Below are 18,624 nucleotides of genomic sequence, written 5' to 3'. Positions count from 1 at the left end.
GGGAAAGGCAACCTTAATGGAGATGGAAAGATGAAGCTAAGAGACACTGTGGAGGAGGAAGGGGATTTGGTGACTCCACAAGACAGTCAAAAATGAAAGAGGAATCAAGGCTGATTTCAAACTCCTAAGCCATGGTGTTAAAAGAGTAATGCAAATGAAATTGGGGAAACCAGGAGATAAATTTGTAGGAAAGAAAGGAGTGGTTTTTTTCTAATGTTAACAATAAAAGTATTTTTTTAAAATTCAGCAATACAATATGATTTACATTGAAAAGTAAAAATCTTCTTCCTTTTCCCATTCCCACTCTCAAATCTTAGTGACTATTCACTGCTTCTTGTGTATTCTTCCTTAAAAGTTTCTTTCACACAAATAATGATCATACACTACCAACTCTTATTTACGTTGCCATTAATAGTATATTTTTAAGCTAGAGCTTTCCAGGTGTGCCTCATTCTTTTTAAAAGCTGCATCGTTTTTCACTGTACTCACTTATCCTTAACCAATTCTGTACTCAGTTAAACTTAACCAATTCTGTATTGATAAGTATTTTGGCTGTATTTAGCAGGATTGTTTATGGTGTTGTTTTTGCCACTATTATTACTTACAACTACAAAACATTGCTGCAATGCAAATTCTTGTATGAAATTTTTCTTTTTCTTTTTTTAATTTTAATTTTTATTTTTGAGATGGTCTCTCCTTATGTTGCCAGGTTGTAGTGTAGTGGCTATTCAGGCACAATTATAGTGCCCTACAGCCTCAAACTCCTGGGTTCAAGCAATCCTCCCTTCTCAGCTTCCTGAGTACTGGGACTTCATGTGTGTGCCGCTGTGCCCAGCTTCATTTTTAACTGACATATAATAATTTTACATATTTTTTGGGTTACATAATAATAATGTAAAATGATCAGATCAGGGTAATTAACATATCTATCATCTTGAACATTTATCATTTCTTTGTGTTGGGAACATTCAATATCCTCCTTCTAGTTGTTTGAAACTATATGTTATTAACTATAGTCATTCTACAGTGGCATAGAACACAAGAACTTATTTATTCTATCTAGCTGTAATTTTGTATCCTTTAGCAAGTCTCTCCCTATACCCGTCTTCCTTCTATCTTTCACAGCCTCTAGTATCTCCTGTTCTACTTTTTACTCCTATGAGATCAACTTTTTTTTAACTTCTACATGTGAATGAGAACATGCAGTGTTTACCTTTCTGTTCCTCCTTATTTCACTTAACATAATGACCTCCAGTTCCATCTATGTTGCTGCAAATGACAGGATTTCTTTTTATGGCTGAATAATATTCAAATATGTATGTAAACATTTTCTTTATGGCTCTTTATGGTTCGTTCATCTGTTTTGGGCCACCTATGTTGATCTCATGTCTTGGCTGTTGTGAATAGTGTTGCAATAAACTTGGGGGTGCAGATGGCTCTTTGATATACTGGTTTCCTTTCCTTTAAATAAATGCCTAGTAGTGGGATTGCTGGATCGTTAGGTAGTTCTCTTTGTAGTTTTTTCCAGAACCTCCATACTGTTCTCCATAGTGGCTGTACTAATTTACATTCCCACCAACAATGTATGTGTTCTCATTTCTCTGCAACCTCACCAGAATTTATTTTTTGTCTTTTTGATAATGGCCATCCTAAATGGATCACTGTGGTTTTGATTCTGATGATTAGTGATGTTGAGCATTTTTTCCTATATTTGTTGGCCATTTATGTGTCTTCTTTTGAGAAATGCCCATTCAGATCATTTGACCATTTAAAAATCAGATTGCTTGGGTTTTTTGCTGTTGAGATGTTTGAGCTCCTTGTATATTTGGATATTAATCCCATGTTGGATGAATAGTTTGCAAATATTTTCTCTCATTCTGTAGGCTGTCTTTTTACTCTGTTGATTATATCCTTTGCTATGCAGAAGCTTCTTCATTTTATATAATCCCATTTGTTTATTTTTGCTTCTGTTGCCTGTGCTTTTGAGGTCTTATTCATAAAATCTTTTCCCAAACCAATATCCTCAGGCGTCTCCCCTGTATTTTCTCCTAGTATTTTAATGGCTTCAGCTCTTACGTTTAGGTATTTGATCCTTTTTAGTTGATTTTTGTATATGATGAGAGATGAGTGCCTAGTTTCATCCTTCTGCATATATGAATATCCAGTTTTCCCAGCACCATTTATTGAAGAGACTGTCCTTTCCTCCAATGAGTGTTCTTGGTGCCTTTATCAAAAATCAGTTGGCTGTATGGATTCACTTATAGGTTGTCTATTCTTTTCCATTGGACTATGTGTCTGTTTTTATGCCAGTACCCTGCTGTTTTGGTTATTATAGGTTTGTAGCATATTTTGAAGTCTAGTAGTGTGACGCCTTCAGCTTTGTTCTTTTTTTTTCTCAGGATTTCTTTGGCTGTTTGGGATCTTTTTGGGTTCTATACAAATTTTAAGGTTTTTTTTCTATTTCTGTGAAGAATGTCATTGATATTTTGATCAAGATTGCACTGAATCTGCCAATTTATTTGGGTAGTGTTATATGCAATTTTAAAACATATTTATGAACATGTATTTCTTTTTTTTTTTTTTTTTTTTTTTTGAGACGAAGTCTCGCTCCCACTGTCCCCCGGGCTGGAGTACAATGGTGTGATCTCGGTTCACTGCAACCTCCGCCTCCCAGGTTCAAGGAATTCTCCTGCCTCAGCCTCCCAAGTAGCTGGGATTACAGACACACACCACCACACCCAGCTAATTTTTTGTATTTTTAGAAGAGACAGGGTTTCACTATGTTGCCCAGACTGGTCTCGAACTCCTGATCTCATGATCTGCCCACCTCAGCCTCCCAAAGTGCTGGGATTACAGGTGTGAGCCACCGTGCCTGGCCTATGAACATGTATTTCTGAGAGAAATTCATATTAATGGCAGAGCTGGCCGGGTGCGGTGGCTCACGCCTGTAATCCCAGCACTTTGGGAGGACGAGGTGGGTAGATCCCCGAGGTCAGGAGTTCTAGACTAGCAGCCTGGCCAAAATAATGAAACCTTGTCTCTACTAAAAATACAAAAAATTAGCCAGGCGTGGTGGCAGGCGCCTGTAGTCCCAGCTACTTGGGAGGCTGAGGCAGGAGAATTGCTTGAACCCAGGAGGCGGAGGTTGTGGTGAGCCGAGATTGCGCCGCTGTACTTCAGCCTGGGTAACGAGAGTGAAACCCCATCTCAAAGAAATTAATTAATTAATTAAATAAAATAAATGGAAGAGTTAGGTCAAATAATTTCTTTTAAATTTTAATAAATGTCTTTTAAATGTTAATAAATATTACCAAATAAACATACTAACAAATAGCCATACCTACAGAACACAGGGGGGCCTTATTCTCCACACTTTTATTATTTTATTTTATTACTTTTATTTTATTTATTCTTTTGGAAATGGAGTCTCACTCTGTCACCCAGGCTGGAGTGCAGTGTTGTGATCTTGGCTTGCTGCAACCTCTGCCTCACAGGTTCAAGTGATTCTCTTGCCTTAGCCTCCCAAGTAGCGAGGATTACAGGCGCCTGCCATCACACTCAGCTAATTTTTGTATTTTTAGTACAGACGGAGTTTCGCCATGTTGGCCAGGCTGATCTTGAACTCCTGACCTCAGGTCTTCTGCCCGCCTTGGCCTCCCAAATGCTGGGATTACAGGCGTGAGCCACAGCACCCAGCCAGAATGTGTATTTTCAAACTAATTCATCTTGCCAAACTGACACATGAATAATGTGACTACATTGTTTTAAGTTGCTGCATGAAATGTTTTTTGAGTTTGAGGAGCTGCAAGGTCACTTACAAAGAGCATTCTTGTAGGTAGTTAGAAGTATAGGATCTACATTTGAATGAACAAGGAGGAATATAGATGTTGATTTTGGAATCATGCCCATGAAAAACTAAAGTGTTCTAAAAGAGTAAGTGTACAGTGAAAAGAGCAGAGGAACAAAACTAAGCTCTGGGGATGAGAAGTGATGACAGAAAGAAGAAGATGAATCAGCTATAAGGAAACTATAAGGCCTAGGAAAATTCGGAGAAACTTAAGATTACAGAAGGCAAAAGAGGAGAGTCCAGGAAGTGAGACGTGTCACATGTTGCATCAAGAACTAGGAAAATAACCAAAAAAGAAGTTATTTGCTTTGTCAGATAAATGAAAACAGGTTTATTCAGTTTTATTATCCATATGTTGGAACTCATGTGAGCCACATCTATGGTTGAAACCTTTGCTATTTATTAGAAAATTCCACCACAACACGACAGATGAGAAACCCAGCTAAGCTCTTTAAATTTTTCCAGAGACGAAGTTGGCCCATTTCCAGAATGTTAAATAATGCTGGCAATAAAATGGAGGGTAGTTTTGAAATGACCATTCTCACCATCCCATCCCAATGTACCCTGCACACCCATTGTTTTACTAGCAGTTGCACCTTTAAAATGAAGACTCTAGCAATGCAAGGGAGGCCTGAAAGGTTGAGGATAAAAGGTTATCGTGTTACATTTAAACATATAAAATTTAATCTTTATTCCAATATTGCTGTAAGAAGTCTATTCATACTGCTACACATAATAAAATGAACTGAAATAAGAAGCAATAAAGAAATCATGACTTATTCTTGGAATGAGAATCATGAACCCTAGGTGACTAATGTCAAGACTGTGCAAAGTGTACTTCCTGCCAGTGTCTTAGCATCGTCTCCCACTCCCTTCCTCAACCACCCACACCCTCCATATATATGTGAAGATGACTTCAACTCCACTATGCCTCTCCAATCCAAGCTCTTCCAATGGAAGAAGAATGCCTTATAATTGTATTCTACAGGATTATTTCTTGTCTTCCTTTTGTACTCTCAAGACTAAAGTTTGACCAAGATAAAAGACATCAGAAAATATAATTTGTTTCCGACTGGTGATTACTCGTTGATTTTACTTTTTGCTCTCTATTCTAAAATATGAGTTTTCATCTGATGTCTCTGGACTCATCTTTGTGGTGGTGGTGGTGTTGCTGCTGCTGTTTTAGTTTTTTAAGAGATAGGATCTTGCTGTGATGCCCAGGCTGGACTGCAGTGGCTATTCAAAGGTGTAATTATAGTGCACTACATCCTCAAACCCTCTGCGCTCAAGTGATCCTCCCACCTCAGCCTTCCAAACAGTTGGGGCTACAGGCACACACCATAGTGGCTGGCTCTGGACTCATCTTGACACTGAGAGGGATTAGTAGAAATTCATATTAAATTTAGGGATTATATATTTGCTGCGTTAGACTCCTTTTGGGGTCAATCTTTATGAAGTATATAATAATAACCGTCTTGGCCGGGTGCAGTGGCTCATGCCTGTAATTCCAGCACTTTGGGAGGCCGAGGCAGGTGGATCACCTGAGGTCAGGAGTTCGAGGCCAGCCTGGCCAACATGATGAAACCTCATTTCTACTAAAAATACAAAAAAATTAGCCGGGCGTGATGGCAGTCACCTCTAATCCCAGCTACTCGGGAGGCTGAGGCAAGAGAATCGCTTGAACCCAGGAGTTGGAGGTTGCAGTGAGCCGAGATGGCTCCATTGCACTCCAGCCTGGGCGACAGAGCGGGACTCTGTCTCAAAACAAAAACAAACAAACAAACAAACAAAAGAATAACTGTCTCATTTCCAACTTAACAGGGAAACAGAAAGAGATGCTCTGAATGGACACACTGGGTCCTTGAAAATGAAGCCTGGAGTCTATTAAAAAAAATCAGTATGATTTGAAGTCAAGGCATAATAGTAAGTCTAGGGGAGGTGAAGTTTTGTTCCCTCCATGACCAAGAGATTTGCCTCCCAGTGTAATTTCTGCCCATTTTGTCAATGATGTTTGGGGATGCACCTGCAGTCAAACACTGACTGGTCAACTCAGGAGAAGGAAAACCAAGCTCATTATTTAAATGTAGTCCACTAATTGTTACACACAAATTGTCATAATTGGCCAGTCAGGCTAGCCACAATATTAAGTTTCTTAACTTTTACTCTATAACTCTTCATATTTCTTCACATATGCAAGTCTGATGAAAACTATGGACACTTTCCCCTGAAAAATTCACATTTGCATGCCCACCCCACCCTCCGACACACAAACATGCACACACATGTCTTTTGTAGAGCTTTAATAGATACCCTGAATTCTAACCACATATCCCTGGGGGTGCCCAGACAGGCACTTCTGTTACCTTTAGATGAGTTTCAGTCAGGAAAATTTTATCCAGAGATTCTTCTAGTAAAATTCAGCACAGCCAAGAGGCCATGCCTTTCAGGCTATAGAGTAGGGTGATACCACACTACTAAATATGAAAATACCCCTCTCAAAAGTGATATGAGTAATGTGCTATCACATCTGGAACAACCCCGTGGGTGGAAAACTTGATGGCTTGGGAGAACATGAATGGACCTCCAAAATCCCCTTTTTTAAACAAGTGCTAATTTTCTTCTTAAATTGAGTACACATCCAGGCTGGGCATGGTGGCTCACGCCTATAATCCCAGCACTTTGGGAGCCCAGGCAGGCAGACTACCTGAGGTCAGGAGTTCAAGACCAGCCTGGCCAACACGGCAATACCCCATCTCTACTAAAAATACAAAAATTAGCCCAGGAGCAGTGGCTTACACCTGTAATTCCAGTACTTTGAGAGGCCAAGGCAGGAGGACCATCTGAGGTCAGGAGTTCGGGACCAGCCTGGCCAACACGGTGAAACCCTGTCTCTACTGAAAATACAAAAAATTATCCAGGCATGGTGGCACATGCCTGTAATCCTAGCTACTCGGAGATGCTGAGGCAGTAGAATCACTTGAACCATGCAGGCAGAGGTTGCAGTGAGCCGAGATCACGCCACTGCACTCCAGCCTGAGTGACAGAGCAAGACTCAGTCTCAAAAAAAAAAAAAAAGAAAAAGAAAAAATTAAGTACACTTCCTTCCACCAGAAATGGAAGAACAGAATAAAACAGGATTTTTTTACCTCAATCCAAATTTGTAAATGGGGTCACATTAAGATTTCAGTATAAATTTGAAATCTTTTAAAAGAAAGATTGGTGATTCTAGTCTTTCATATTTATGCTTTAAATTAATATGCTTGCTTATTTGTTTATTGACTCAACAACCTTATTGAGCACTGGCTGTGTGCCCAGCACTATGCTAGGCACGTGGGACAGAAAGATATATAAATAAACACAGTCCATCTCCAAGAAGTGGGAGAATGGTGAGAAACCAAGAGTATTTAATACAAGGTATAATGTCAATTACAGGGATAAAGTGCGACAAGCTAAAAAAAAGAACTTTTTTCTAGGATATAGAGGTAAGTCAATACATTTGTTGTATTAAGCCTTAAATATTAAATTATTAAGTGTGCTACTAAGTTATAATCATACAATGGCTTTAAATATAGTTGAGTAACATATACTACCAAAGCTTTAACTCCATGAAACTTGGGCTAAACTTTTAAAGGATATTCCTCATTTTGGTGTTTGAGGAAAAGTTTTTGCTTTTTTTTTTTTTAAAGAAGTAAAATGAACACCCATCATAACGGCTAAAACTGAAAAGACTGATAGAGCTAAATTGTGGCAAGGATAGGAGCAACTGGAACTCTCATATGTTGAGTGTAGGAATTTTAATCGGTAAAACCACTTTTCAAAAATTATTTAGCAGTTTCATATAAAGTTAAATGTATTTCTATGCCACGACTCAGCAATCCTCCCAGGACCCAAGAGAAATAAAAATATGTTCACAAAAGACTTTTATAAGAAAGTTTGTAATAGCTCCAAATTGGAAACAATCCAAACGTTCATTAACAAGACATTGTATAAACAGAGTTTGTCATATTCATACTAATGGAATACTATTCAACAATAAAAAGAATGGGCAACTAATACACATAACAGTATAGATGCACCTCAAAAACACTGTGCTGTGAGATAGCAGCCAGGCACAAAAGGGAACATACTGTACGTCCCATTTGTATGAAGTTCTAGAACAGGCCAAACTAATGAAAGATGATAGAAATCAGAACAGAAGTTGCCTCTGGCAGTTGGCTGTGAAGAACTGAGAAGAAGCACGAAGGAATTTTCAGAGAGGAACATTCTCCACTGCGGGAGGGTGAGTGTTACACGATGTGGTAGGCAGAATAATGGCTCCCAAAGATGCCCACATCCTAATACTCCAAACCTGAGAATATGCTACCTTGTATGGCAAAAAAGACTTTGCAGATGTGATAAAGGTTAAGGACTTTGCTGGGCGCAGTGGCTCACGCCTGTAATCCCAGCACTTTGGGAGGCTGAGGCAGGCAGATCACGAGGTCAGGAGTTTGAGACCAGCCTGGCCAATATGGTGAAACCCCATTTCTACTAAAAATACAAAAATTAGTCAGGCATGGTGGTGCATGCCTGTAGTCCAAGCTACTCGGGAGGCTGAGGCAGAAGAATTGCTTGAACCCAGGAAGTGGAAGTTGCAGTGAGCCGAGATCGTGCCACTGCACTCCAGCCTGGGCGACAGAGCGAGACTGTCTCAAAAATAAATAAATAAATAAATAAATTAAGGACTTTAAGATGGGGAGATTATCTGGGTGGGTCTAATCTAGCCATATGAGCCCTTAAAGTACAGACTTTTCCCTGGCTGTGGGCAGAGAGAATGGTATCAGACAAAAAGGGCAAAAAGATACAATATTGCTGGTGTTGAAGATGCAGGAAGGGGTCATGAGCCAAGGAATGTGGGTGGTCTCTAGAAATTAGAAGAGACCAGGAAATAGATTCTCCTTCAGAGCCCCCAGAAAGGAACACAGCCCTGTCAACACCTTGATTTTAGTCCAGTGAGATTCATATCAGGCTTCTGACCTGCAGAAGTGTAAGATAATAAATTTGTGATGTTTTAAGTTATTACATTTGTGATAATTTATTACAGGATCAATAGAGAACTAACACACATAGGTATATGCATTTGTCAAAACTCATCAAAAGGTACATTCAAGATCTATATGTATCACTGCATGTAAATTATACCTTGTTATGGATTGAACTGTGTTCCCCAAAAAGATATGATGAAGTTCTAATCCCCAGTACCTCAGAAAGCCTTTATTTGGAAATAGGGTCATTGCAGATATAATTAGTAAAGATGAGGTTATACTAGCGAGTGGGATAGGCCCTTAACCCAAAGTGACTAATGTCCTTACAAGAAGGGGAAAGACAAAGATATACCGTGAGGATGCCACGCAATGACAGGGGCAGAGACTCAAGTGACACAGCTGCAAGATGAGGAATGCTAAGAAGTGATCACCAGGAACTAGAAAGAGCCAATCAGGGATTCCACTCAGTGTCTGCTGGGGGTGTGGCCTTGCTGACACCTTGATTTTGGAGCTCTAGTCTCTGAAACTATAGAATAAATGTCTATTGTTTGAAGTCACCCAGTTTGTGATACTTTGTTATGGCAACCCTAGGAAATTAATATATATCTCAAAAGTTTGTTTAAATCTGGAGTAACAAAAAGAAATAAAATATTACAGATACACTTGAAGCCCCTTTCATAGTCCTGCCAGTAAACTTCCCTCTCTCCATGGAAGTAACCACTATCCTTAATTTCTTATCTATCATTTCATTGCTTATTTTTATACATTTGCTATATATCTATGAATCAAGCATTTTTGCATGTTTTTATTTTTTCATTTATTGGAACAAAAATAGAAACTCCTCATTTCTTTCTTTTTTTTGATAAGTGTATGGGTACAATGATTTGATACGTGTACACATTATGAAATGACTACCACAATGAAGCTAATGAACACCTCTATCACCTCACAGTTACCTTTTCTGTGTACATATATGGTGAGAACACTTAAGAGCTACTGTCTCAGCAAATTTCAAGTATACAATACAGTATAATTAACTGCAGTCACTGTGCTATACAACAGATCACAACAATTCATTCATCTTATAACTGAAAGTTTATACACCCAGACTCTGTAAACCACCACTTTATTCTCTGTTTTTATGAATTCAACCTTTGTTTTGTTTTTGTTTTTGTTTTAATGTATTGCAACCTCCATCTCCTGGGCTCAAACCATCCTCCCACCTCAGCCTCCTGAGTGGCTGGGATGACAGGCGTGTGCCAACACGCCCAGCTAATTTTTAAAATTTTTTGTAGAGATGAGGGTCTCAAACTGGACTGATCTCAAACTCCTGTGCCCAAGCAATCCACCCGCCTTGGCCTCCCAAAGTGCTGGGATTACAGGTGTGAGCCACCACGCCTGGCCTGTACTGTTATTTTTTAATAGAAACCACATCACTTCATTTGTTACAGCAAATAATAAATGAGACACAATAATTCAAAAGGGACCCAAAAAGCTTTCTCATCCCACAAAATAACAGAAAAGGTAAGCACCCAAGCCTTTGGTTAATTTTTTCCTTTGATCCCTGTTCTCTCATCCACATTGGCATGCTGCTTCCAAAATAGAACTTTGCCTTTAACTTTTACACGAGCTAAGATGCTAGTCCATCAACTTGCCTTCATAATGTAATGGAGGTACCTAACTTAGCTGAGGCACCTGGACAAGAATTTGATTTCAACTTCATCCTAAGGCCCATGACTGGTTTCTTTAAAAAGCTGCAGGTGAATGAGGTAGAAAGGACAGAGACATGAGATAGAAACTAGAGAAGGACGAAGAGGATGACTCCATGCACTATAGGACCGCAGGCCTCTCAAGGCTGAAAACTCAAAGAGCAGTGTGACACCCACACAGCTGGGGAGAGCACATGCCTTCAGTTTCTCCTGTAACATGGGCCATGGGGCAAAAATCTGGATGGCAAATGTCACCATGATGAAGGCATACAGGGACCAGGGAAGGCATGAGGACAGGCAGACAGAAGCAATGATGGCCGTGTTCAAGGACAATGTGATGGCTACAACGGCAGCATTGGTGCCACAGTGAAAGCAGATGAGGTGGCCTAACAGCGTGAAGACTAACACAGCACAGATGGTGTCAGTGCTGACAGACTGTCAGGGTCTTCGACACTAGCAAACAGCCATAGATGAAAGTAATGAAGACTACAGGCTCTTCAAGTCAGCCCACCGGACATGCCCACTCTACTTCCACCCTTCACCTCTAATCAAGATCAAATAAAACATATGCAGTCAGTGAAGAAGCCAGGCCAGTCCCAGAAGTCCAGTGGGAGACCAGAAACCCAGAAACCCTTTGTCCATGTAACATCAGATAACCACAAAAACATAGACACCACGCAGCTGATGGATCACCACACTCAACTCAAATACCCCAGTCCAATATTGGTATTTCTGAGTACAGCTCTTTCAGGTCCACATAATTATCAGGGAAGGGCTGTCACTCACATAAGGGCTTCTGCCACTTGCCCTCCTTAGTGTTAGTTACAGGTTGGCATGATTTCTTTATGCACTGTCTACTGTCCTATTAATGAAGAGTAGATAGCAGATAAAAGATATTAGGCTATTTATAAGGTCAGTAGACTATCAACCAGACTATCTAGTGGATTAAGGATACTTATTTTCTTTTTTTGCTATTATAAATATTGCATATTTATATATGCTAGAAATATTCATTAACATGAGTCAATGTTTGTTAAGGATACATACTAGTGGAATTGCCAGGTCTTAGAAGATATATATCTTCAATTTGACAAGACAGTCACACGCTGCTATCGGAAATGACTGCCCCAATTTACAACTCACAACGATAGTATAAGTGTTCCTATTGCTCCACAGCCTCTGTGACACTTGGTATTTTCAGGCATTTCATTTTTACCATCTGATAGACAAAAGCAGATTTACCATAAAGCAAATGCGGTTTAGGCTTCAGGACCTTTCATTTGCATGGGCCCCTTCAAAGGCCCTGTAGTTAATTTTATATGTGAAAATTTGTAATCTTTTTCTTAAAACGACATCCACAAATTGCATAATCTTCATGCTCCACTGAAGCTAGTTACAGCCCTGCTAATGATGGATGTGAAATGTATATGGTTGTACTTACTTTTCCCTGATTACTAGTGAACTTGAACATATTTTCATATGTTAATTGGCACTTCAGGTTTTCTGTGAATTTTGCCTTTTGTTTATTGATTTGTAGGAGTTCTTGATATCTTCTGGATATTAATCTTTTCTAAGACTTAACTGGGCAAATACCTTGTTCAGTCTAGAGCTTGTCTTCACTTTTGTTGTGGTGTCTTCCATGTTTTAATTTTAATAAAGATGGATTTGTCAGTCGTTTCCTTTATGATATGCACATTTATGTGACTTGTTGAAGAAATACTTTTATTCCAAGGTTATAACAGCATACTTTTTCTTCTAAAAGTTTAAAATTTTACCTTTTCTATTTAGGCCTTTGGTCAATTGAAAAAATGTGTGTGTGATTGCTGTGAAATAGAGATCTAAATTTTATTTGTTCTACATGGATAGCCAGTTGTCTCAGCACCATTTATTGAATAGTCCATCTTTTCTCTAATGCCACGTAACCTCTATTATATATCAAGTTTCAATACATGTTTCTAGGCTTTCTGTCCTGTTCCATTGGTATATTTATTTCCCACAGCACAAACATATAACTGCCATAATTACTATAGCTTGATAATAAGTCTTTATATCTGCAAAATGTTTCCCCATTTTTTCTTCTTCAAAGTTGTCAACAAATGTTGCATGTTCTCACTAATACGTGGGAGCCAAAAAAGTGGATCTCATAGAGAGAGAAAGTAGAAAGATGGCTACCCACAGGCTGGGAAAAGTAGCAGGGAGTGGGGATGGAGAGCTGTTGATTAATGGATACAAACGTGCAGTTAGATGGAAGGGATAAGTTCTAGTGTTTCATAACACAGTAGGGTGGCTGTAGTTAACAATAAATTATTGTATAGTTCAAAATAGCTAGAAGAGAAAATTTGGAATGTTCCCAAAACAGAGAAATGATAAATGTTTGAGGTGATAGATATCATTATTACCCTGATTTGATCATTACACATTGTATGCATATATCAAAATATCACATATATCCCATAAATATATACAATTATTATGCATCAATTTCAAAAATTGTCTTGACGTCTTGACTTTTCTTGGCCCTTTGTTCTTCCATACAAGTTTTAGGCCAAGTTTGTCCAGTTCTATGAAAAAAAAAAAAGAAAAGCTTTTTCATTGTAATAGCATTTATGTAATAGATTAATTTGAAGAAAACATCTATATGATATTGAACTTTCACACTCATGAAGATTTATGGCTTCATATTTTTCTTTTTTTCTTTTTCTTTTTTTTTTTTTGTTTTTGAGACGGAGTCTCGCTCTGTCGCCCAGGCTGGAGTGGAGAGGTGCGATCTCGGCTCACTGCAAGCTCCGCCTCCCGGGTTCACGCCATTCTCCTGCCTCAGCCTCCTGCTTAGCTGGGACTACAGGCGCCTGCCACCACCACGCCCGGCTAATTTTTTGTATTTTTTAGTAGAGACTGGGTTTCACCGTGTTAGCCAGGATGGTCTCGATCTCCTGATCTCGTGGTCTGCCCACCTCGGCCTGCCAACATGCTGGGATTACAGGCGTGAGCCACCGCACCCGGCTATATTTTTCTTAGGTTTTGTTTTTGTCCTTTAATAATGTTTTCTAATTATCTCTATAAAGTTCATCATTATATATCTTTAGATAAGATTTACTCCAGCTAGGCACAGTGGCTTGCGCCTGTAATCCCAGCACTTTGGGAGGTCGAGGTAGCAGGATAGCTTGAGGCCAGGAGTTGGAGACCAGCCTAGACAACATAGAAAAAACCCATCTCTACAAAATAAAATTAAAATTAAAAAATTTACTCCTGTAATCCCAGCACTTTGGGAGGCTGAGGCGGGCAGATCACGAGATCAAGAGTTCAAGACCAGCCTGACCAACATGGTGAAACCCCCATTTCTACTAAAAATACAAAAATTAGCCAGGCGTGGTGGTGCGTGCCTGTAATCCCAGCTACTCAGGAGGCTGAGGCAGGAGAATCGCTTGAACCCAGGAGGCAGAGGTTGCAGTGGGCTGAGATCGAGCCACTGCACCCCAGCCTGGGCAACAGAGTGAGACTCCATCTCAAAACAAATAAATAAATTAAATTAGCCAGGTGTGGTGGCATGTGCCTGTAGTCTAAGCTACTTGGGAGGCTGAGGCAGGAGGATCACTTGAGCCCAGGAGTTCAAGGTTTCGGAAAGCTATGATTGAGCCACTATACTCCAGCCTTAGTGACAGAACCAGACCTTGTCTCTTAAAAATAAAAAACAAAAAGGATTTATTTCTACTAATCTTTGTAGCTTTTGTTGCTATTACCAATGATATCTTTCTTTTTATTACATTTACTACATGGTTATTATTAGTATATAGGAAGGCTATACACTATGTAATATATATCGTGTAATAATTTGCCTTTGTTCAGCTTGTATCCATCAATCTTGCAATACTCTCTTATTTGTTCTAAAATAAATCATTTTTATGCTGATCAATAATTCTGAGCCTCTACCTTTAAGTGCAATATTTTCCAGTTCTTCCATCAACCACATCTAAATACAAAATTTAATCAGTGTATAGTGGTTCTGAATAAATATTCTGTACATCTGTTAAAATTATAAAAAGCAGTATTATACAGTAAAGACATGACAAAGTTAGGCTTTCTGGATTCTAGCTGGCTTCAATAAAAGCCAATAAAAATTAAAAATTGAGATTTCACCACAAGTGAAAACTCAATCTATTCATTTGTAAAATAGGAATAAAAATACTAAGCTATCTATGGTTGTTATGAGGATTAAATGGGATAAACCCAATAAAACACATTGCAAAGTTACAGCCCATACTAAACACTAATTAAAGTTAGCTAATGTTGATAAAAGCATGATAAGTGGCACCACAGCTCATTCAGTTACGCAGTTAGCACAGGTGTGAGCCAGATTTAAAAACACAGGTTAGATTAATTTCTAACAAACGCTAATGACCTGTCCACATTCTTTTGGAATTGTCTTATAGCAAACATAATTCATTGATTGAACTGTCATTGAACCACTATTTATTGAGTCATTGTTCTGTGGTAGATTCATTCTAGGTACTGGGCATACAGCAGTGAATTCGCCAAAGTCCCTGCCTGTGTGGGGCTTTCATTCTAATGAGAAAGCCAAACATTAGCCAAGTAAATAATTGTGTATTTTTAAATTATGATGCTATGTTTTAAAAAGTACATGCAAATTAACCAAGGGACTTAAAAAAATACTCTGAGAGAATGCCACAAGAGGGGCTAATTGAGATTAGGAAGTCAAAGTGGTTCTCCTTGAGAAAGTGATGTTGAAGCTAAGTAACAGCCAAACCGAGAGAGAGAGAGAAGTGCATTTAAGCAGAGAAAATGATGTCTGCAAAGAGTGGGCAAATTTGGGACTACAGGAGGCCACCATGGTGGGAGTGGAGAAAACAAAAGTAAGAGCAGAGTCAGATGAGGTTGGAGAGTTGTGCAGGGGGAGATCATGCAAAGACTTTGGAGGCCTGTTTTCCCTCTGTGTAATCATCAGCCCCACAAAGAGGACTAGTGTGAAAAGATCATTCTGATTAATGAGTGGTAAAGAGATGGGGAGGGCTGCGAGAGGAAGCAAGAAGTGCAGCAAAGGTAAGAGTGAAGATGAAGAAAAGTGATGGCTTTGGGATGTATTTTGGAGGCATGCTCAATAGGGTTTAAGGATGGATTGGCTGCGGGTGGGGAGAAGGTCTGCAAGAAGAAGTGTCAGAGATGGTTCCCAGGTCTCTGACATGAGTAAAGGGGAATATTCTTTACTGAAATGGGGAAGACTAGAGATGGAGCAGATTTGGGAGGAAAGATCAAGAGGTCTTAATCTCGATATGTGTCGTGTTTGAGATGCCTATGAGGCATCCAAGCAAAGATGTGGAATAGGCAGTTAAATATGTGGACCTAGAGAGCTGGGGTTAGAAATCTGAATGTTGCTGGGAGCCATAGGACTCTTATTTAGGGTAAGAGGGTAGCAAGAGAGGAGAAGGAAATTCAGAACAGAATCTTAGGAAATGCCAAAGAAAGAGTTAGAGGAGAAATTGGCAAAAAGGATGAGGTGAAAAACAAGTGTGTTAAAAATTTTTTTTTAGCATTTCAAGAAGAGAAGATTTTAGCCCGGCATGATGGCTGAGGCCTCTAATCCCAGCTACTCAGGAGGTTAAAGCAGGAGGATCACTTCAGGCCAGGAGTTTGAGACCAGCCCGGGCAACACAGCAATACCCCATCTCTAAAATTAACTAATTAGTTAAATAATTTTTAAAATAAAAAGAGGAGTTCATGAAAGTGTAGTCAGCAATGCCAAATGCTTTTAAGTAAGATGAGAGTTGAAAGTATTCATTGTGTTTAGCAACATAGGGTTTATTGCTCTTAGGAAGAGCTGTGGTGGGGGCAGAAATTGGAATGCAGATATGGCCTGTGGCTGGGAGTTGGGTGAGTGTTCCTAATGAGGGCCTTTATCATACCAGGAGTTAACCTATACACCACACTTCTGCAGCCCATGACAGATTCCATGGAGTCATCCAGCCAAAAAACACCACCACTAAACTCTCATCTAAACAGGTTGGTGAAATGTCAAGGAGATAACCCTTGAGAAGATTCTTTTTTTTTTTAAGTACACGTGAGCATCTGCTGTGCAATCTCTGCAAACCAATGAAATTACGTACACACAAGTGCATTAAACCACCCACTGGTGGTTTAATCTCACAAGGAACTTGAGGAAGCAATCTTCATCATCACTTCTGCTGATCAAAGTCTCAAAGGTCAAGACCACATTGCAGTCTTTTCATTGTTGTAAAAGTTAATGAGAGTTAATTATTAAAGCTGACAGAAAGGTAATTTGTCCACTGTCTTACATAGCCTATATATAGACATCCCTATGCATATGGATGCACACAGAGCCTGTAGACCTGAGTGGATGGACACTGCCTCTTAGAACTAGAACTTAGAACTTTATCTTGAAAATGTACCACTGTTGCAGAAGCTCCTCACAGAGTATGTGTCAGGTAGGAACCAAATTTATGATTGTTATATTCAAACTGGTTTTCTGTTCCTTGAAAATGGTATTTTTTCTGATCAAAGCCTATTTAGGAGTTATTATGTTCTTGAGTTTATTCCATGTGTGTGAATATTTTGAATGAATCCACTAATAAGATATGCATGTATGTCTGGAGCGCTAGCAATGTAGAATAAATATTTAAGTAGACTTTAACAAGTAAATGGTTGTAGGCATCATTAAGTCTTAAATAGCCTTTTCAAAGATATTAGTGTTCTTGTTTTAATTATTCAGATAATTCCTTTAATTCTCCACTCAAATCTGACTTTATAGATAGATTGTCTGCTCTGAGGGTTGGCAAAAAAAAAAAAAAAAAAAGCAAGCTTTAAGGAAAGAGTTTCTCCAGGAGAGAGAATCACCTACTAGAAAGGATTCAGAAAGGCCATCTGGTCCCAGCCAGGCATAGGGATATGTATCTATAGTCCTAGCTACTCAAGAGGCTAAAGCAGGAGGATAGCTTAGCCCAAGAGTTTGAGGTCAGCCTAGGCAACATGGCAAGACCTTGTCTCTTAAAAAAAAAGGGAGGGGGTAGGGGACATATGGTCTAGAAGTGAGAGATTTATCTGCTAGACATCCTAGAAAGTCCAAGACTAAGGGAAACACGGAGAGAAGAAAAGGCAATGAGAGTAAGAAGGATAGAGACTGGAAAGAGAAGAGAGATGGGGAGAAAATGGTCACTGGAAAGTAGCAGAATGCCCTATGCCACAAGTAGTATAATATAATATAATACATTAGTAATGTATGGGTACTTATCCCATACATTACTAACTCTATCAAGATAAAATCTATTTTATTCTTTAAAATGTCAGGAAAAGATTATACAACTTTCTTTATATATGCAAGTGAGGAACAATTTATCAAATTATTGGACTAAATAATTCTCTTTTCTGAAGTAAGTTAGTCATTTGGAAAAACTGTGTCATGAAATTTGACTGCATAAAGATCATTCCTTTTTTTTTTTTTTTTTCTGAGACGGATTCTCACTCTGTCGCCCAGGCTGGAGTGCAGTGGCACAATCTCTGCTCACTGCAACCTCTGCCTCCCAGGTTCAAGTGATTATCCTGCCTCAGCCCCCCAAGTAGCTGATACTACAGGCACGCTCCACTGTGCCTGGCATTTTTTTTTTTTTTTTTTTGTATTTTCAGTAGAGACGGGGTTTCGCCATGTTGGCCAGGCTGGTCTCGAACTCCTGACCTCAGGTGATCCTCCCACCTCAGTCTCCCAAAGTGCTAGGATTACAGGCATGTGCCACCCCATCCGGCCAAGGATTATTCCTAATGAAAATTTAGGAAGCAACTAATTTGATTTCAGAAACAAGAAAAATGGGGTAACACAATACATACTTTGCCTTCTCCCTCTGGATAAGGGAATAAGTAAGTATATAAAGAAATGAACAAATGTTTAATACCTCCTAAACAGCTCATATTCGACTAAGAAACAAAATCGTTCAGAAAATGAGAATGAATATTTTTCAATTACAAGAATAAATATGTAATAACACAGTCTGGTGCTTCTCTACAATAAAGGTCTTTGATTCTC

The 18,624-nt window shown here is 39.1% G+C and overlaps 1 protein-coding gene and 1 pseudogene across 1 annotated transcript in view; one reads left to right on the top strand and one right to left on the bottom strand.

Annotated features, from left to right (window-relative positions):
- PIGCP2 (phosphatidylinositol glycan anchor biosynthesis class C pseudogene 2) lies at nucleotides 10,355–11,413 on the bottom strand (annotated as a pseudogene).
- The window catches only part of SLC26A3 (solute carrier family 26 member 3), a 37,755-nt gene continuing 36,053 nt past the window's right edge, over nucleotides 16,923–18,624 (top strand). The window contains exon 1 of the mRNA NM_000111.3: nucleotides 16,923–17,035. The gene's annotated coding sequence lies outside the window, so the exon portion shown is untranslated. The remainder of the gene's footprint in view (nucleotides 17,036–18,624) is intronic.

The sequence above is a fragment of the Homo sapiens genome, chromosome 7 (assembly GCF_000001405.40).
Source record: "Homo sapiens chromosome 7, GRCh38.p14 Primary Assembly".
In the NCBI taxonomy this organism is placed as follows: domain Eukaryota; kingdom Metazoa; phylum Chordata; class Mammalia; order Primates; family Hominidae; genus Homo; species Homo sapiens.
This window is presented reverse-complemented; position numbering and strand designations above follow the sequence as displayed.